The 21,874-nt window shown below is 40.3% G+C and overlaps 1 protein-coding gene across 24 annotated transcripts in view, besides 1 other annotated feature; it reads right to left on the reverse strand.

Moving 5' to 3' along the window:
* The window catches only part of ASAP1 (ArfGAP with SH3 domain, ankyrin repeat and PH domain 1), a 391,571-nt gene that overhangs the window by 131,463 nt on the left and 238,234 nt on the right, over nucleotides 1-21,874 (reverse strand). For all 24 annotated transcript variants that reach the window (XM_047421810.1, XM_047421806.1, XM_017013468.2 and 21 more), the window contains 2 exons: nucleotides 4,543-4,617; nucleotides 3,670-3,719 (listed from right to left, as the gene is read on the reverse strand). In XM_047421810.1, coding sequence (XP_047277766.1) covers nucleotides 3,670-3,719; nucleotides 4,543-4,617 — 125 coding nt within the window. The remainder of the gene's footprint in view (nucleotides 1-3,669; nucleotides 3,720-4,542; nucleotides 4,618-21,874) is intronic.
* Nucleotides 20,328-21,297: an enhancer, noted in NCBI's record as "OCT4-NANOG hESC enhancer chr8:131216140-131217109 (GRCh37/hg19 assembly coordinates)". NCBI's record gives its function as "activates a minimal SCP1, AML or CMV promoter by ChIP-STARR-seq in naive and primed H9 embryonic stem cells {active_cell/tissue: H9 hESC(naive and primed)}" and the evidence as "EXISTENCE:reporter gene assay evidence [ECO:0000049][PMID:30033119]".

Genomic DNA, 21,874 nt, shown 5'->3' on the forward strand with positions numbered 1-21,874 from the left:
TTCGACCTCAAGCGATTTGCCCACCTTGGTTTCCCAAAGTGCTGGGACCACAGGCATGAGCCACCGTGCCTGAAAATTATTATAAAATCAGTATTTTATACTGATTTACCACTTTTATAAAAATGATTTATAACTATCACTTTTTGTGGTGGCAGAATGAAGATAGTTTTGGAAACACAAAACCTAAACTCTTTGCCTCCTTTAGAGCTGTTCTCTGAAAACTACTGGAGGTAATGGGCCACCAAAATATGGAACTATACTAGTCAAGAGGAATTAGATTTAAAACTAAAGAGAGTCAAACGCCATCCCAGGATGGCAGCTGTACTGCTGATCTAAAGAGCTCTGCAAAGGGATGTCTCCAGGAAAGAAGAAGCTGACACAATTTAATACTAATAGATATATAATCATGCTAATAAAATACATAATGTACTTTATAAACAGAAATATTATTGACAGGTGTCTGACATCTGCTAGAGCAGATAAGAATTCACAGAAGATTCACACAGAACTAAGCAAATGAAGAAATGAGGCCATTATGTCATTAAGAAAAAGTAAACAACTGTACTCTAAGAACAGAAATTCAATCCTATTCTACCATTCAGATTAGCAATGAATGCTTATACCTATAAAAATGTAAACACTGAAACTAGTTTAATAAAAATTGTTCTATTAACCACAATGGATGAACAAGGGTGCGAAAGTGATGGGGTGTCTATGCAAGGGAATGTAATCCTCGTCTACCACAGCAATACATCACAGCTAAAGCTAGAAAGAGCAAGAAAATACTGAGGAACGTGTAGATAAGTCAGGAAGCAGGTAAAAGAGTTGGAAAAAGGGGAGGGACTAACAGGATCAAGAGGGGCAGGCAGAAGGCCACTGTGTTTCCATTAGAAGCACATTTGTTGCCTACTTAATATTTTCCCTGTCATGATTTGTAAAGAACCCTGTACCATTAGGTATGACATAAAATCACTGAGTTTAGATTGTGGAGGACAATACAGATAAGTGAGAAGTGCTACAAAGGGTACCTGGTCCATCCTAGAATGCTCTGTTCTATGATAAACTTTAACAATGTTGAAGCCACTGTTATTTGGGGTTTCCATTACATGCTGACAGAGTAAGTCTTAACTAGTAAAAGCACTATCTGATGTTTTAGTTTACGTACATTTATCACTTTGACCAAATGAAATTTGATTCTTAAAGAGAACTTAGTAGAAACTATTTATTGTGTGACTTCCCTATGCTAAACACTGTGACAACTGCTTCAACACACTACCTTATCTCGTCCTCACAAAAACCCTGAGAAGTAGGTAATTTTTATATTATTTTACAAGTAAGGATCATCAAAATTAAGTATTTTGGCTCAATGTCACAAAACTGGTAATGATTTCTAAGTCTGTGATCTAAATCATTACAAACTTCACTGCCTCCAGAGTTCCAAATAGAAGACCACAGAAAATGTCCAGCCTTCTCCATTATCAAAACTAATAAATGAACTTTTTTGTGTGGAGTCATTTTGTTTTCTCTAACTTATAACAGCATAAGTCCCAGTACATCAAAGAGACAAATGCTTGTTTTCTTTCTTTCCTGCACCACTATACTTTAGTGACAAAGAAGTCTATCTCAGGAAAATTGTTGACAGGGATTTACTAAGCAAACAAACAAAACCTGCCTTCATAAGGTCTTAAATTCAGGAGGCACTCAACTTGCTATTCCTGTTATACATTTCCAGGTCTGAATAATTCTTTTATTTCTTCAATGAAATAGTACATAAACTATGAGTCATTAGGCACTGGTAGAATAACACCATATATAAGAATAATGTGGTTGTGGTCTTCACCAAATTTAGATTGTAGAGGACAATACAGAAAAATGAACAGCCAGGCCGGGCATGGTGGCTCACGCCTGTAATCCCAGCACTTTGGCTGAGGCAGGTGGATACCTGAGGCCAGGAGTTAGAGACCAGCCTGGCCAAAATGGTGAAACTCCGTCTCTACTAAAAATACAAAAAATTAGCTGGGTGTTGGTGGCAGGCACCTGTAATCCCAATTACTCGGGAGGCTGAGGCAGGAGAATCGCTTGAACCCAGGAGGCAGAGGCTGCAGTGAGACGAGATTGAGCCACTGAACTCTAGCCTGGGCAACAAGAGTGAAACTCCGCCTCAAAAAAAAAAAAAAAAAAAGAAAAAGAAAAAGAAAAAAAAAGAAAAGCCAGACAAGTTCATATGTTGAGTGAGAAGTACAAGGAAGAGCACCTGTACCATCTTAGAATGCTTTATATTCTAAGTCATTTATAATACTAAGCACCAGATACTTCTAGGTCTTCAGCCAACAGAGATTTAAAAAATATAAATAAAGTTGTACTACCTAATATTGGTAGTACTTTAGTTGACAAAGCACATATTACATCATGTTTCGTTGTTCCTATATCCTACAAAGAAGACATATTCTACAAGTGTAGAACAAGGTTTTTTTCTTCCCCCTTTGTCCTTCCATTTTCTAAGTACTTAATTCTATTCCATTCCAAGTTCATGCACTGTTGTCTCTGGGCAGCGGCAGTACTTCGCTTACAAGTTGAGTACTCATGACCCACTTTTCATACAGAAAGACTCATAGCCCACAGCATTCATTTATCAGTTGACCATTTTAAGAACGTTTTTGTTCTCTGCTGCATTTAGAACTGTCAATGTACGGATATATTCCTAAGACAGCAAGTCCCTAACAATGCACTTTTCACATAATTACAAAAGTAGTTTGGGAAAAACTACTTTTTTTAATCCTGAATTTGTTTTTCTTTTGCTTGTTTTTATCCTGCTGCTATTGCTGCCTACAGAAATGTTTTATTCTCTTATGTTTATAGTTGTCCAAGACTTTTATTAAAAGCTTTAAAAATACATATCTCCTCCCACCCCACCCTACTGCTTGGTGTTACAAATGTCTCAGGGTAATAATAATAAAGGAATGTGGTATGATACACACAGTATCGAGATGGGCCGAGCACCCTGCAAAGTGCTTATTGTCCTAATCCCTAACAAGAACTCCACGAGGTTGGTGGTCTGACTTCAGTGCCCATGCTATGCTGAGGCTCTGTGGTCAAGACAGACCTGGAGTGAATGCTAGCTGGACACATAACTAGCTTTCTAGCCTTTCATGAGCCCCTTAGCCTCTCCAGGTTTCAGTTTCCCTGATGTATATAAACAGAGAGTAAAGCTGTACAGATAGTTTCCTGTGAAGAGGTCATACATGCAAAAAACACTTAGTGCACGTCCTGGCAGGCACCAAGATGTCACAGTATTAGCTGTTACTTCTATTATTTCCCAATTTTTATACTATACAGAAACATAAATGGTCCATAATTACATGCTATCTATAATGAGAGTCATAGCCCTATAACTTGATAGTACTAGCAGCCATAAATGCGAGAACAACTGATAGTAAAAGTACCTCTCCCTTCAGACAAATAGCACAGGACATGCAACCACTTTAGGTCAGTGTACCCAACCTCTTAGCCCTAATAAGGATATGCTAGAGGATATACTAAACAGGTTTTTGTTGAGAAGTTATTAGTTAAGGGCTCTGTCCTTTTTCCAGTTAAGTTTTTTTTTTTGTTGTCCAAAATTCACAACAATATTAAAAAACAAACAAAAACTCTAAACAAAAAACCACTTACAACTTTGTCTCATAATCTTTCCAGGCTTTGTCAAATGGCTTCTTGAGATCCTTAGAAACGAGAAAATGAGATTAAAATTGCAACTACTTTTGCTGAAAATTAATAAATAGTTTTGAAATGACATCTTAGCAAGAATTGTTTCCTTTATAGGACACTGGGAACTTCACTTTATGCACGTTACACCATTTTTTTTTTTTTTTGACAGGGTCTCACTCTGTTGCCTAGAATGGAGTGCAGTGCCACAATCACAGCTCACTGTAGCCTTGAACTCCCAGGCTCAATTGATCTTCCCACCTCAGCTTCCTGAGTAGCTAGAACTACAGGCACTCACCACCACCCCTGGCTAATTCTTGTACTTCTTCTGTAGACATGGGGGTCTTATTATGTTGCCCAGGCTGGTCTTGAACTCCTGGGCTCAAGCAATTTACCCGCCGCCATGGTCTCCCAAAGTGCTCAGATTATAGGCATGACCACTGTGCCTGGCCAACATCAAACCATGTGTTATATACACAAGAAGCCTGAGAGAGGAAAGAAGGGTAAGCGCCCTGGTCATGCTGATGAAGCAGGAGCCCGAGGTTCAGAAGGGCTGGGTCCCCAGTGGTCACACTGTGGGAGCCAAGACTCGGGCTTAGCTTCTCTCTCCCACCCATGGAGGACCTTCCCAATCTTCTTGAAAGTGCCTAATCTCATTCCTCTGTCAATACCATTATGTGAAGAGGCACATTTTTTCCAATGATCATTTTCCAAGAGCATTTTTAACGCTGAAAATGTTCAAAGAGTCTTTCAAATACAAGTACTACTATGATCTTGAAAGAGGAAAAAAAAAATTAATCCTTTCAAGTTAAAGTGAAAATCAAATTTCTGAACACTTACTCCTTTGACTCCCTTTAGGTCTCCTTTTAACAAAGAATCCAAGGTGAAGATCACATTGTGGCTCAAACCCTGGAGCTGAAAAAGCAAAGGGAAGATGGGAGATGGTTAAAAAATAAAGTCCACATGAACAATAAAACCAGCTACTATTGACTGAGCATTTTCCACACACCAGGCTCTGTTGAAGGGCTTTCCATGCATTATTTCATTGAACCTACATGACACCTCTGTAGGTTAGGCGACACAATTATCACTACTTTGCAGCTGAGGGAACAGAGGTGGAGTCATTTGTGCAGAACCATAAAGCATGTGAGTGAGGAGCTAAGATTTGAATTTAGGCAGTGTAGGCTGGGCATGGTGGCTTACGCCTGTAATCCCAGCACTTTGGGAGGCTGAGGCAGGAGGATCACTGGAGGTCAGGAGTTCGAGACCAGCCTGGCCAACATGGGGAGACACCGTCTCTGCTAAAAATACAAAAATTAGCCAGGTATGGTGGTCTACAACTGTAGTTCCAGCTACCTGGGAGGCTGAGGCAGGAGAATCATTTAAACCTGGGAGGCGGAGGTTGCAGTGAGCCGAGATCACCACTGCATTCCAGCCTGAGTGAGAGACTCTCTCAAAAAAAAAAAAAAAAAAAAAAGAAAAGAAAAGAAAATTGAATTTAGGTGGTGTAGCTCCAGAGCTTGTGTTCTTAAACACTATACTACAGTACACGTATATGTGTACAAATAATTCCTCAAATCATTTTAGCACTTCCATTAACACCTCTGCCAAAATTGTAGCTCTTACGGTGAATTTTCTTCAACTGCTTCTGTCAGAGTAAGGAGGGCTTTTCTCATTTCCTTTTCACATTTTTTTATAGCATGTATCATTATCTGAAATTACTGTGTTTGGATTTTTTTTTGCTCAGATTTATCTTTTAATTTTTAGTTTTTATGGATACATAATAGTTGTATTTATGAAGTACATGTGAAATTTGATACAAGCGTACAATGTATAATGATCGAATCAGGGAATTGGGGTTTCCATCACCTCAAGCATTTATCATTTCTTTGTGCTAGAACATTTCAATTCCACTCTAGTTATTTTGAAATATATAATAAAAATCATTAACTACAGTCACTCTGCTGTGCTACCTAACACTAGACTGTGTTACTTCTATCTAACTGTATTTTTGTACCTAATAACCAATCCCTCTTTATTCCCTCCTCCCCACTATCCTTCCCAGCCTCTGGTAACCATCATTCTATTCTCTATCTCTATGAGATCAATTTCCTTTTTTAGCTCCCACATGAGACAGAACATGCAATACTTATCTTTCTGTACTTGGCTTATTTCACCTAACATAATGTTGGATCCATTTTGTGGCAAGTGGCATGACTTTGTTTTTTATGGCTGAATAATATTCCATTGTGTATATATACTGTATTTTCTTTATCTACTCAACTGTTGATGGACACTTAGGTTGATTCCGTATCTTGGCTACTGTGAATAGTGCTCCGATGAACATGAGAGTACGGGTTATCTTGTTGATACACTGATTTCTTTTCTTTTAGGTATATACCCAGCACTGGGATTCCTGGATCTTATGGTAGTTCTCTTTTTAGTTTTCTGAGGAGCCTCTATACCATTCTCCATAGTGGTTGTACTAATTTATATTACCACCAACAGCGTATGAGAGTTCCCCTTTCTCTGCATCCTTGCTAGCATCCATTACTGTTTTTTTTATAAAAGCCATTTTAGCTGGCTTGAGATGATATTTCACTGAAGTTTTGATTCGCATTCCTCTGATGATTAGTGATGTTGAGCATTTTTTAATAAACCTGTGGGCCATTTGTAGGTCTTCTTTTGAGAAATATATATTCAGATCTTTTGCCCAGTTTAAAACTGGATTTTTTTCCTATGAGTTATTTGAGATCCTTATATATTCTGGTTATTAGTCCCTTGTCAGATGGGTAATTTGCAAATATTTTCTCCTATTCTGTGGGTTGTCTCTTCACTTTGTTGATTGTTTCCTTTGTGGTGCAGAAGCTTTTTAACTTCATATGATCCCACTTGCGTTTGCTCATTTTTGCTTTGGTTGTCTGTGCTTTTGAGGTCTTTCTCAAGACATCTTTGCTGAGAGCAATGTGCTGGAGAGTTTCCCCCAAAGTTTTCTTCTGGTAGGTTCACAGTTTCAGGTCTTAGATTTAAGTCTTTAATCCATTTGGATTTGATTTTTGTATATGGTGAGAGATAGGGTCTAGTTTTATTCTTCTAAATATGGATATCCAATTTTCCCAGCACCATTTATTGAAGAGGATATTCTTTCCCCAATGTATGTTCTTGGTGCCTTTGTCAAAAATAAGTTGACTGTGAGCATGTGAATTTATCTCTGGGTTCTCTATTTGGTTCCACTGATTTATGCATTTATTTTTATTTTTATTTTTTGAGACAGAGTCTCACTCTGTCGCCCAGGCTGGAGTGCAGTGGCATGATCTCTGCTCACTGCAATCTCCACCTCTTAGGTTCAAGCGATTCTCCTGTCTCAGCCTCCTGAATAGCTGGGATCACAGGCATGCATCACTACGTCCGGCCAATTCTTGTATTTTTAGTAGAGATGGGGTTTCACCATATTAGTCATGCTGGTCTCAAACTCCTGACCTTGTGATCCACCCTCCTTGGCCTCCCAAAGTGCTGGGATTACAGACGTGAGCCACCGCACCTGGCCTATGCATCTGTTTTTATGCCAGCATCATGCTGGTTTGATTACTACAGCTTAGTAGTATAATTTGAAGTCAGGTAATGTGATGCCTCCAGCTTGTGTATTCTGTCTCCCTCACTAGTACATAACCTCGATGGGGACAGGGACTTTGACTTTTCTGTTCACAGCTATATCCTTAATGCCTAGATTCCATTAAAAAGATGAGATATTTAGGAAGTGCAATCTATAACCGGGAAATAGTTTTTTTTTTTTTTTCCACTGCTCTGCGGCAGTGGCCTGAGTCTCCTTGATTTTAAGATGGCACAAAGAGGAATCTACAAAGGAGAAGGAAATGGAGATGGAGATGCTACCCAGCTGCAGAGAAGAATGGCAGGAGGGAACCAAGGGAGGCAGAGTCAGGTGTGAAAGGAGTAACCAAAACAAGGACTGAGAAGAGTTTTTACCTACTTGTCTTCAAGGAGACCCCAAGTAATCTTGGTAAAATCAAGTTTTAGTAGGTGTGGAACCCAAGACTGCAGAGACCTGCAGGAGCAGATTATAGATGGAAAGGTTTGTGGGTCCCCTCACTCAAGAAATGATTTTACTCACACATAAGTGTATTCAACTGTCAGCCTGTCCATCCATCCATCATTAATAAGATATCTACTCTGTGCCACACACTACACTAGAAGCTTGATAGGCAAAGATGAATAAACACTGTTCCTACCTGTGGAGAGCTCATATTCTAGGAACAGAGGCAGTCACTACACAGCCAACTCTACTACATTATGCTATTATGTATTATGTGTTAGTGGCAGAGGGAGAGAGTGGTGTGAGAAGGACCAACGCTGACTTGAAAGGGCTTTGTGCATGACCCTCTTAACCACATCTGTAAAGTAGAATATTATAACCTACTGCAAGCAGCTGTTGTGAGGATGGAATGAATTAATATGTGTAAAAAGTGCTAGCTTACTCCCTGATACCTAGGAAGTGTTGAATACATGTTTATATTTTAAATGCTATGGCATGCTAAATATGGATAAGATAATGAGGGAGCAGAGAGGGGCGGGGAACAGGTTTTCCCCTTTTTGCTCTTAACTTCTTCCTAACCCTTTCCTGTTGTTTTCATCTTAGGCTTCTTGAAATTCTCAGTCATTCTACCTCTTTACTCTCCCTGAACAACAACTAATTTTACACACCGGAAGGTTTCCCAATGTGTGTCACCAGAGGGCTTCTCTGGTGACACACATCTAAGAAACAATCACTTCTTTCTTATTTCAAAGACAAAGGGATTTCTACCAAGACAATTCTGTCTGTGATTTTGCCAACAATCACACACCAACAGACTGGCTGGCATACCAGAGAGCTATAGTCTGAGAGTCTACATTCTGTGAGGCTCTAAGACACTGGTTCTTGGGGAGTGGGGCAAAAAATAAAAAACCAAAAAATCTTAGCTGTTATAACTGTCTGTGGCCCTCCAAAGGGCCACAGTATATAACTGATATCAACTATGTCTATTAGCTGTATTAAAATTTCACGGGGGGGAGCGATGGGGGACTATGTCTAAAAAGGCTCTTGGGGAAAAGGAGGAAGGCTTTGGATCATAATGAGGAAAAAAAAGGTTGAGCAACACTAACTGGGTCTGAGACTGAAAATATGAAGATTAATAGGACTCACCCTCTATTCTACACAGATAGCTGAAATAATTTGCTCTGAGTCCTCAATTTCATTCTTGGAGTACAATTCCCTAGCATCCTCCTATCCTATGGGCCTTAGAAGTTTGGATGGATGGTGGGTAAGTAAGGTTGGGGGGCCTGACCTGCCTTCACTAGCCAAGCCATTGCCTACTTTTCCTCTGTTCACGGAGATCCTTGCCTTATTTTTCTTCAAAGCACTTACCATCCCTACCCATTTGTATATATGTTTGTTTCCCTATTTGTTGCTGTCTCCCCAGCCTGGTTGCCAGTTTGAGAGAGGGGTCAATATGCTCACTGCTATATTCCCAGAACACTGCCTAGCACAGAGAGGGTGCTCAAAAAATACTTGCAGAAGAAATGAAATACAGAATCATTTGTGTACAAAGTTCTTCTCTACAGGGCTATCTATAACTGATGGAAAGTTACGTGCCTATCAATAGGGCACTGGCTAAATAAATTACAGAGTTTCTAAACAACAGCCAAAAAAAACGAGAAAGCTCTTTATGCTTCACTTTGAAAATATCTCCAAGATAAATATTTATGTGATAAAAGCAAGGTATAAAACATTACTTATGGTATGCAAGAATTTGCATAACAAGGAGGAAAAAAGGCCAGGCTCACACCTCCAATCCCAGCATTTTGGGAGGCCGAGGCGGGCGAATCACTTGAGGTCAGGAGTTTGAGACCAGCCTGGCCAACAAGATGAAACCCTGCCTCTACTAAAAATACAAAAATTAGCCAGGCATGGTGGCACACATCTATAATCCCAGCTACTTGGGAGGCTGAGACAGGAGAATCGCCTGAACCTGGGAGGTGGAGGTTGCAGTGAGCCAAGATTGTGCCACTGCACTCCAGCCTGGGTGACAGAGCAAGACTCCATCTAAAAAAAAAACCCCAAAAAACAAAAGACAAAAAAAACCCCCAAAAAACTCTCTGCTTTAATTATTTCTGAAATAATACACAGAAATCTGTTGATACCAATTTCCTCCAGGGTTGGAAACTGGGCAAAGAAATAGGGTGGGAGAGGAGATTTTTGCATTTTAAAAAAATTGTAATATGTAATATGTTGTTTATTTAAAAAGTCAAAAATTTAAAACAAAATATGAAAAGACAGTGATTATAAATAACCCCTTTTCAACTCTTTGTTCCAAATTACGGTTTGCATCAATGCCTCAAATCCTTTGTGAAATGAAGCAGCAAATTAAAAAAAATACATTAATGTTATTAGTACCTTGATCTGAAAGGCTGTATTATAAAATAACAATTAAAGAATTATGAAACTCTGTGGTTAGTACTGAATGTGCAGGTTGTTCCAAACAAAAAGTGCCTCAAATCATGTACTGACCACACACCAAACACAAACAGTAAATCCTTTTTTTTAAAAAGCAGATATGGGGTCTTCCCTTGTTGGTCAGGCTGGTTTCCAACTCCTGGCCTCATGTGATCTGCCCGCCTCTGCCTCCCAAAGTGCTGGGATTACAGGCGTGAGCAACCATGCTCCGCCACACATAGTAACTTTTTAATGTCATCATTGTGGTTAGGCATGAGGGGAAGATAGAAAACCCCAAGAATTAAGAATTTCTCCGTGGTTATCTACACACATTCTTGAGGGCTGATAAGAAATCATGAACGCAAAACATGTTATTATGAATTCAGAATGTTCCCAGTGACTAGTCAATGAAAAGGCTACAGGAAAAATAAAATTTAAATTTACAAAGTCTTTCCAACTAACTTCCCAGGAAAACGTAGGTTAATTAAAAAAACCAGCAACGAAAATTTTAAGTGACAAGTGAATAGTAATTACCTTTGTCATTATAAAGGCACAAAGAAAGGTTAAAGAGAAAGCAAACCAATCTCAAGAGGAGGAAATTTTAGGAAATATTCACTGGGGGGAGCAAAAAAAAAAAAATCCTTTCTTGGAGATCTCAAAGAACAGAAAACCTATTCTCTCAGTTATTTTAGGTGATTATTGTGCCACGAAGATGGAGTATATGACTTCACAGTCATGGGATTCTACAAATTTCCTGTGTTTTCACTTCTATAGTTCTTTCAGGAATCCTTTATATTAGCAGTCCCCAACCTTTCTGGCACCAGAGGCTGGTTTTGTGGAAGACAGTTTTTCTACAGATGGCAGGGGTTGGGGGAGCTGTTTTCAGGATGAAACTCTTCCACCTCAGATCACCAGGCATTAGATTCTCATAAAGAGTGTTCAACCTAAGTCCCTCACATTCACAGTTCACAACAGGGTTTGCGCTGCTTTGAGAATCTAATGTCACCGCTGATGTGACAGGAGGTGGAGCTCAGGAGGTAATGCTTGCTCACCCACCGCTCACCTCCTGCTATGCAGCAAGGTTCCTAACAAAGACAATGAGTCAGCAGGGGTTGGGGGCCCCTCCTTTATATGACCTGAGCAAGAGTTTTGCAAACTGATGTGTAACAGTCATCTCCAAGGCACTTACAATACAGCCGACATAATACAATAACAGTATCAGTAAACTTCCTGTATGACCTTCATTATCTTCAATAAATTTTTAAAAAAGCTTTTCAAATCCATTATATAATTATTTCCCATTGATTTTACTAAAATTCTATTGATTACTCTATCTCCATTTACTCAACTTCCAAATCATTTCCTTTCCTTTATTCATTAAGTTGAATTAACATAAGTTCTTTACATGATTCAAGTCTATAAGAAGTCGAAGGGTATGTTTTTTAAAGTGCATTTTTTTCATTTTATTAAGCAAACAACACATTTAAAATCATTTCAGGACGAGGAATGGTGGCTCATGCCTGTAATCCAAGCAATTGGCGGGGGCCAAGGTGTGGGAACTGCTTGAGCCCATGAGTTCAAGAACAGCCTGGGAAGTATAGCAAGACTCCACCATCTCTTTAGGAAAAAAAAAAAAAAAAAAAAAAAGATGAGCTGGGCATGATGGCGCACGCCTGTAGTTTCAGCTACTCAGGAGGCTGAGGCAAGGACTGCAAGATTACAGTGAGCTATGATCCTGCCACTGCCTGAGTGATAGAGTGTGACCCTGTCTCTTAAAAAAAAAATTCCAGAATGATATTTAGGTATGGTAAATATTTTTGCTTTCTGCACAAATTGCTTCTAAATTTCTTTCCTCAAAGAAGAGGTATTCCCCCTGCTAGTACATACATCAAGCCTAACCAGAAATTTGGAGTAAATCAAACAGAGGGAGGCCGAGGTCTATCTTTCATTATGCAAAAGGGGCTTAAGGAAGCAAGTGACTGTAATTAATATTAAACTGGACAAAAATAGCCGTTTATTCCTTACAATTGCTTCAACACTGCCAGCAGTATACAAATAGCCCGTTATCCTAGTCACTGGAGATGACTTCATAAACAGTTTTCCCTCTGTATATATAAACATACATCTTCTGCTCTGATTTTTAAAATGTCTTTATGCTTTACCACTAAAAGAAATGATCTCACTTATTGTTTACTGATTTATCATCTTTCTTCACTAGAAGGTTTGCTTCTTAAGGGGAGGCCCTGTATCTATTTTGTTTACTAACTGATCAGATCCCAAAGAAGGAATCAAGAAGCAGTTGTAGGTCGGGCACAGTGGCTCACGCCTGTAATCCGAGCACGCTGGAAGGCCGAGGCAGGCGGATCACCTGAGGTCAGGAGTTCGAGACCAGCCTAGCCAATGTGGTGAAACCCCATCTCTACTAAAAATACAAAAATTAGCCAGGTGTGTTGGCAGGCACCTGTAATCCCAGCTACTCAGGAGGCTGAAGCAGGAGAATCGCTTGAACCTGGGAGGTGGAGGATGCAGTGAGCTGAGATCACGCCACTGTGCTCCAGCCTGGGTGACAAGAGTGAAACTCCATCTCAAAAAAAAAAAAAAAAGTTGTAGGTCACACTGTACTATCATTTCTGGCTTGCCTGAATACTGCCCAACTCAGCTCCAAGCCCCTCTATGGGCCTGCAGGTGGAGTGCCCTTAAGGGAGGGCTCACCCCAACAAGCCACCCTGTCCTGCTGGAGCAGCCAACTGGCAGAAAGACAGTCAGTCAGCAGGGCCTCGTTTTTTCTTGCCTCTGACAGAAGAGCAGAGCACAGCTCTACAAATGGTACTTCCAGGACACCTACATGCACACAAGACTGTATTAATTAATGAGGACATAATTTGCTTGCTTTGTCATCTTGCATTAATCTTGACATTCCCTCTCCACTGCCCATTGGTTCTCTCTCTCTCCATAACTGAAACAGTTTCTCTGAAAGTAAGGCTAATGCAAATCTGCTGACTTGCTCAACGCATTGGAAAATCCAATTAAAATAATGAGCCAGCTCCCAGTAGTTAAGTCTGCGATTCCCTGGTATAAACTGGGTATTCTGTCTAGTATATTAACTCCTTCATGCCCTACAGAGTTATAATACCTTGAAGCTATTTAAAACTGGTGCCTCCTGAAGTGGCAGGTCAAAAAATAAAACTAAATAAAAATAAAACTGATGCCTCGTCATTAGGCTGCTTTCCAAGGTACTGTGATACAGAGCAAAGAATCCCAGAGGCATGTGGCCACTCATCACTCCCGGCCTGCGTGAACTGGGAAAACCGTTTAACCTTGCTGGTGTCCCAGCACCTTCCTGAACTAGCCCATGCCAGTGTCAGTGGATCGAGACAGAACTGACACCAACGGGCCAGGTGCAGTGGCACATCTGTAATTCCAGCACTTTGGGAGGCTGAGGCAGGTGGTTTGCTTGAGTTCAGGAGTTCGAGACCCGCCTAGGCGACATGGTGAAACCCTCATCTCTACAAAAAAATACAAACATTAGCTGGGCTTGGTAGTGCATGCCTAAACCTCAGCTGCTCAGAAGGCTGAGGTGGGAGGATTGCCTGAGCCCAGGAGGTTGAGGCTGCAGTGAGCTGAGATCATGCCATTGCGCTCCAGCCTGGGCAACAGAATGAGACCTTTTGAGACAGAACAGACTGTCTCAAAAGAAAAAAGAAAAGAAAAGAACTGACACCAATGAAGCTCCACTTTATTCCAGGCCACAGAGGTGGCTCGTTTTACACACAGTCTCATTAGCTGCTCCTGGTAACCCTACAAGGTATTACTAAATAACTTGGCCAAACACACGCAGTTAGCTGAGACACAGTGGATGCAAATACAGGCAAAATGCCTGACACTACTGTAGGGCAAGTGCCCTGATAGCAGTAACTTAAGCACACCCTTAGAATGACCCTGTGGCAGATGCACCTGAATGTGTGTTCTGAGTTAGGGAATCCCAGGAGTAGTAATCACAGAAATTAGTTCCTTGTCTATGAGAAACGTCCAAGTCCCCGGCCCGAACTGTGGAACACAGGCCATACAGAAGATTGAGGCCCTGAGTTTTGGGTTCCATGAAGGTTGCCAGATGGAAGTCATTAAGGGGAGTGTTAAGTGAAAATCCTATATAAGCTACGTGCTGTTCACTAGTGGGTGAAGTTTTCTTGTTCAGCCTGCTGCCACTGGACTCTCTCCCCTGTATGTAAGCCCCTAATACACCCCATGTCTCATTTGCTGGCTCTGGGTCTTTTCTTCGGCCTCTTGAACCTGGTGCCTTCCCTACTGAGGCTAGGGGTTTGGCACAACAACTACATAATACCCCTTAATCAAATTTAACTAGGTTTATTTTCATAAGATTTTTTTTTTTTTTTTTGAGACAGAGTCTTACTCTGTCATCCAGGCTGGAGTGCAGCCTTGCTCACTGCAACCTCTGCCTCCTGGGTTCAAGCGATTCTCCTGTTTCAGCCTCCTGAGTAGCTGGGACTACAGGCACCTGCCACCACACCCAGCTGATTTTTGTATTTTTAGTAGAGACAGGGTTTCGTCATGTTGAATCATAAGATTCTTTACACTTGAAAAGCTCAGCAGTAGTGGTGAAAAAATGATAATGAGCTGGCATTTCAGGTACTTTTAAGGCTGGGATGGGGAGCTCCAAAATTTCCTTTTTATTGCACCACATTCTCTCCATCTCACAGTTCCTGCCTCCCTGCCTCGTCTGCAAGGCAGTCTCCATAAACTGTAAGATAATGCAGCCCATTATACTGTGTTCTAATCTAGGCAGAACAGCATGAATTTTATTTAAATGACAGAGGGTACTGTATCTAACATATATTATCTAAAGATATTGCTCACAACACCTCTGTAAGATGGGTCTTAGTCTCACTAGGTTAACGAGGAAACAGGCTTAGAGAGGTTAAGTAACTCGCCCAAGGTCAAACAGTGAGTAAAGCAGATGATCAGGTTATTAATTAAGGTTTTTACTGACTCCAAAGGCCACTCTCATTTCCTCTGTGCTCTGCTGTTACAGCGATCTTTTAAAGTGATTACCAGATTATATCACTCTCCTGCTTAAAACCCATCATTGGCTTCCCACTGAACTACACTCATATCCAAGCTCCCAATTTAGCTCTGGCCCTGCCAACCTGTTTTGAGTCCCTCTACCCATTCTCACTGCACTACAACTCCTTTTGGCTTCTCAACCCACAGAGATCTCTCCCACTTTGCACGTGCTTTACTCTGTCTGGAACACTCTTCCTCTGTCTCCATGTCACTTTCTCAGTGAGGCCTTGACCATTCTAAATAATAAATAAGTCCCTTCTCCCTAACCTCCTGTTACTCTGGACCAGTGGCAGAATAGGCTCACTTTCACAGAGTACTGCACTTTACAATTATCCGTGTGTTCCTTTACTGTCTAGAGCAAAGCTTCTTGGAGGCAGAGGCTATGACTGCTTTGCCCACCATTGAGCTACATCAAACTCCTAGAGCAAAGTGTTGACTTGTTCTATACACCAAATAAAAATGCTTACTGATTAAGTAAATGGATGAATGAATTCCTCTCCAAATCAGAAGGACTGCTCTGAAACATCAAGTGTTATAGAACCTGAACCAGTTTTGGTCGTCCTGGAGTGCTCAGCACCAGAATGGGGGAAGGGGCTAGATTCAGGAGAGGGACAGAAGAGTTAGAACTGCTCCCAGGATATGGTTGGGAGTGACAAACCAAGGGTACCCCTCCCATCCTGCAGCTGTTAGGCTTTGTCTGGCAAGAAGAGAAGAAAGAATGAAGGTCAGGAGACCTGTTCTAGACTTGAACCTGTCTCCAACCAGCTGTGGATGTTTAGGCAGGTCACTTTTTGTTTCTGGCATCAATAAAGTGTGAGGTCTCTAAAAAGACCTCTAAGGTACCTTCCAGTTGTAACACTCTTACAGCTTAAAATGAGCTACTGAGATACAACTGAATAAAGCAGAAAAAATTCCACCTCAAATGGGTGAGAACTATAGGGAGATGCTCAAACTGCCTCAGAGACAGGGCAGCCCTGGTCCCCAACTCAACAAAGTAACAAAAACAAACAAACAAACAGTTCTGTGGTAAAGCCGGAGAGTTAGAAAAGTCCATTCATAATTCTTATAACAATTCTCAATTTTTTAGTATAGTCCATCCACAATGTTCACTATGAAACTTCTGGCACAGTATAAACATAACTTTTTGAAAAAGTCTGAAATATTTCAACAAAGTGAGCATCTTAATTTGATCAGAGCAAGGCACCAACTATGACCTACCAGGGCCTTGGGCTACTGGCAGTTTTCCCCCACTTCTTGACTCTTAAATGACAGGGAAGGAGGAGAAGCAAAAGCATTACAAACTGAATTAATGGAGTAATGACAACCAGTAACTAAATAATATATAATCATGAGATGTGTAGAGATTTCAAACTATTACATTTTGGACAGTGGTAAATGGAAACAATAGAAATATTCAAAACAGGAAGTTGGGTAAATAAATTATAGTGCAAATATAAGATGGGCATTCTATACAGTTTTTAGAATGTGCCTCTGGGTTCTGCAGACCCCTCTTCGGAGACTGCCAGGGGTAATGGGGGAGAGGATCCTTTCTCCAAACCCTGCACAAACAAGCCTTGATTTAAGAGGTTGTATGGCTTCCAACTAAGCAAAGGTTCTTAGGCTGCAGTATTTTACAAAACAGGAAAACATTTTCAAAATGTTATCGGTGGAAAACCACAGTATAAAATAGCACTGCAGTATGAACCCAATGTTAAAAAAATTATATGACTTTAAAAATACGAGAAAAAAGATGTTTAAACAGCAAAAAGTTTAGAAAGACAGAGGGTGTACACACAAACACACATACACACACTCCATAACAGATAAGATTACTGTTGATTTTTATTTTAGTCTTTTTCTCCCTACATTTTCTGAGTTTTCAACAATGAAGTGGTATTATTTTTGTACGTACAAAGTTATTAAAAAGAAACATGATGCAAAATCACAAGAGGGTGATATAATTAACCAGCAGCCTATTTCTCATTCAACTTGTTCTTTATTCAGTGATAAAGATGTAAATCAGATGTCATGTATAAAAGTAAAAACAATTAATATAAAAGTGAATCTGGAGAGAAAAACAGTTGCAGCTTCTCCGTAACACTAGGAAATTCTGGATCTCTGTCCAGAGTGACAATCCTTCCTAGTGGTTCTCAAAAGTGTGGTCCTCAAATCAGTAGTGTCAATATCACCTGGAAACTTGTTGGTTATGAAATCCCAGACCTAATTAATCAGAAACTCCAAGAGTGGGTCCCAGCAACCTAAGTTTTAACAAGCTCTCAAGGTGAAATGGATGCAAGATCAAGTGTGAGAACCACTGCCTTAGACTAAAGGCTGTCCAAGTGGAAGAAAAACCAAAGTTCCTTTAGAGAAGGAAAGACTTACAGCCAGAGAGCAGAAATCACTTGCCTATGGTCTAAGGCATAATTACAATGAAGAACAGAGGTACTGCTCTGGAAGATCTGGGAAAGGCCCAAGGAAAAATGCAAGACAAATTACACCATGTGCTAAAGGCACTCGGGACTGACAAGACTGAATTTACTCATAAAGTACATTTTACTGGAAATGCTAGAAAGAAAAATGGGTAGGTCTAAGAGTACCAGGGAATATGAGAATTCCTTAACTTAAAATAATGCAATTATATTTTATCTAATTCAATTTAGTAAATGGTGGGTTAGATTTAACATCATCTCCTACATCAAGTGAAAATGAAAGTACCATTTCCCTGTGCATTATCTGCAGCATCTGATTTCATTTGACGATAATTATATGGAAAGGGGAAGTAGCTAGGATTTATAAGACCAAGACAAAGGAGAAAGTAAAAGGAGGGGGTGTGCTATATGGCTAGGCCTTGGTTTGAGAAAGATATCCCTATCCTAAGGATTTCTTTGTTGTACTTAAAATGATAATCAGTTAGTTCATGATCAACTTTCAGACCTTTAATTTCATTTCCACGCATGGCATCTACAATTTGTTCTTTTTCCCTAGAATAAAACCACACTGTAACATCGGATCACATTTTCCTTGCTTTCACTCAACATCTTTATCACAGATTATGATAAATGTTTTGCAATATCTTTTACTCAGGACACACCTTCTTAACACAATTTAAAAAATTCAACAAACATATGCAAGCACACAGGGCTTACCACGTACTAGGGTGACATAGTAATGTCTCATAGTAGACATTATTGTCTTCATTTAACTGACAGGAGGTCAAAGCCATCTCTGCTCCCTTTGCTTGGAAAGCCCTGCCCTGTCTGCTTGGTCTACATCTTCATGTTTTAAGACTTATTTCACTTAATCCTCATTAAATTTTTCAGAAGTCAAAGAATCCACCTAAATGGTAACTGTGATAGGCAGTTGTTTGATATATTTCAAAGCTTCCCTTGCAGAAAAGGAATCTTCTTAGATATTACATTTGTGATGCCAGCTGCTGCCAGGAAACCCCACTTGTGGGAAACCAAAAGCACAATGTTTTAAAAGTCTGGTCCTATACCTTTGTCCATCTTTCCTTGTAAAATTAAGTAGTGCTTTAGGGTAAACTATTAAAATATTATGTATAAGCAATCTCTCACATAGAAAATGACAGTCTTAGCACAGATTCTGGAACAGAGTGGGCACTTGGTAACTGCTGGCAGAGATAAGAACACACTTCATAGGAAGTTTCTTTCTTACTACTAAAGTATAGACTTTCACCTCACCCTTTATCAAGTATATCAACCATTGCTTAATATTATTTAATGTTTCTACTTATGAAAACAGTCTCTGCTAGCTTAAGAGAACAGCGTTTCATGAATATCTCTTGATAATTTACGGCTCAGATAAAGGGTACCTCCTCTGTAAAGCCTTCTTAGATACTCTTGCTTTCTAGAGGAATGAATGAGTGAATGAATGAATCTGCCTCAGGTGACCTAGCTTGGGAGGTGGTGGAGCAGAGATAGAACTCAATTATATCCAACTTCAAAGTCAAGCTATTTCTGCCAATTTTCTGAATTTTCAGTTGCTTAACATATCTGTGGCAATATGTCAATGAAAAGATCCACTCATTTTTACTGAAAGATGTAGTCAGATACTAGTTCAAGACTGCATCAGCGGGCCATTTCTTCATGTTTAACCCTAAGGGGTTACCATACAGTATAATCTAAAATGAAAAGAAAAGGGGAAGTGGCAACCAGCTTAAAAACAATGAGAAATTACATACTGAAATATAAATTAGAAATAAATTGTTGGAGGGCAGAAGTGAATTTGAATTAAAAAAAAAACACACACAACAACAAATGAAATGGATCACCTGGTCCAGCAAAACATCTAAATCAGCATTTTCTGAAGTGGTTCCATGAAAAGTCAATGTTTCTTATACAACAACAAAGTCCATGCTCAAATAAATTAGAAAGCACTGCATTGGACAAGTTTCTTTATACTCTTGCTCCCAGGCAAGAAGATGCCAGATGCACTGGACACAGTATGGCCACTGTGTACGGCTGTGCAGGGTGTACATGGCTCAAAGCACCCACCTGGCTTGTACAAGGGAAGCCTGAAGTCCAGCCATGCTCCCCTCACTAACCCGTGTTTCCCGGTGCTGGCTAACATCAGCCCTGAAAAAAGCACCAGGCTGGGCTGTAGGACCTCCCAACAGTCCAGATCTGGAGTGGTGGCCTTGTCTGAGGGCCATGGTATGTGGAGGTGAGGAGAGACTCAGGCAACATTGTGCAGAGGAATCCAAAGTCAGCTCAAGACAGAACATTTAATCTGAATCGGCTAGGAAGAGTGGGAGATCCAGATAAAAGGTTATGCCTGGGATGGAAAATGGGAAATCAAGGAATAGTGGAAGGGAATGTGGAGTGGAAAGAAGTGGAAGAAGTGAATGTGGGGCAGAGTTTGACAGAATTTTCTGTTAAGAAAGGAAAAGAGAAAAAGACTTGCATTTGCTGTTTGCAATGTACTTCCAGATCTGGGCCTAAAGAAAGAGCTCTGGAGGCTTCTGGGACAAAGATCATGCAGACAGAAGGCTGTTAATTCTCTCCAATCAGTGTTTGCCTTATCTTTGTAACATCATTGTCTATGTTTTAATTGCTGTTTTTTAAATCAATACAACTTTTAACTTAAATTAATTTAAAAGTAAATTTTACATTATGTCCAAAACAGGATGTCCATATCTTTTGCGAGGAGGTACAGCATACTCTAGAGCACGGGTCCCCAGTCCCCAGGCCACGAACCGGTACAGGTCTGTGGCTTGTTAGGAACCAGGCCACACAGCAGGAGTGAGTTGCGGGCTATTGAGCGAAGCTGAGTTCCGCCTCCTGTTAGATCAAGGGCAGCATCAGACTCTCATAGGAGACGGAACCCTACTGTGAACTGCATATGCAAGGGATCTAGGTTGCACGCTACTTATGAGAATCTAATGATAAATGTAATGTGCTCAAATCATCCCGAAACCATCCTCCCGGCTACCCTCTTGTATGTGGAAAAACTGTCATCCACAAAACCGGTCCCTGGTGCCAAAAAGGTTGGGGACCGATGCCCTAGAGCAGACCACCTGGGTTTGAATGCTGAATCTGAGATCTACTTAATGCTCTGTGACTCAGTTTGTGAGCTCTTAAATAAGGGTAACTATGGTTACTACCTGGTAGGGCTGCTGTGAGGAGTAAATGAGGCTACATACAGATGAGGCAGAGGATAATGCTCACCAAATACTCCCCTTTCCAGGTCTCCTGCAGCTCCTGCTCCCTCCCATTTCCAGGTCTCCTGCAGCTAGGTAGGTGGGGCCAAGATCACAGTTCAAACCAATGAACTACAACACCTAGGAAAGCTGTGAAAAGTATGCATACGCTTCTCTAGTCTCTCTCTTCCCCTGTAGAGAAGGGGGAGCTTCCATGCGTCTAAGTCTCTGAGTTGCTGTTGCTAAGCAGAACAGATCCCTTCAGTAGACATGTCACACGAGAAGAAAATAAACCATGTTAAGCCATGGAGATTTGGGGGTTCATGTATTACTGCAGTATATCCTAGCCTATCTTAACCAATAAAACATGTAAAGTACTCAAAGTGCCAGTGCCTGGCATACAGTCACCACAGTATAAAGACAAGCTCCTGTTATCAGAATTACTTGTATAGTAAAAGTTAACCATAAAAATAAAAATAATGAAAACTTCACCTGCCTTAAGGCTGTGAGGGTGAGACCAGCTCTTTTATCAAAGAGATATTGATTAGCAAAATGTTAGAGACAGCATAAAGCATTCCAGTACCAATCATTCTTAAAGTTCAATCTTTTCTTATGGTCAATGAAACTTTGCTCCAATAAGCGATGGTTTTTCTTCTCCCTTCTCCACTCTCCCTTTTCCTTCTTCCTTCCTCTCACATAGAACCAAAACTCTATACCAAATGTAAGTGAAATAATACTAGACAATCACGTACACATATCGCGTGCATACACCCTTTAGACAAGTGCTATGAACAACATGCAAAAGCCACAAGCTGAAAATGCAATCCTATTTAAAATGTATTATTTGAAATCCTACCTTGAAACACTGAATGTGAATCCTTATAAGAAAAAAAAAAAAAAAAAACAAAAACCATATTCAAATTCAGCCTGAGGTATATATACAC

The sequence above is a fragment of the Homo sapiens genome, chromosome 8 (assembly GCF_000001405.40).
Source record: "Homo sapiens chromosome 8, GRCh38.p14 Primary Assembly".
Taxonomy (NCBI): domain Eukaryota; kingdom Metazoa; phylum Chordata; class Mammalia; order Primates; family Hominidae; genus Homo; species Homo sapiens.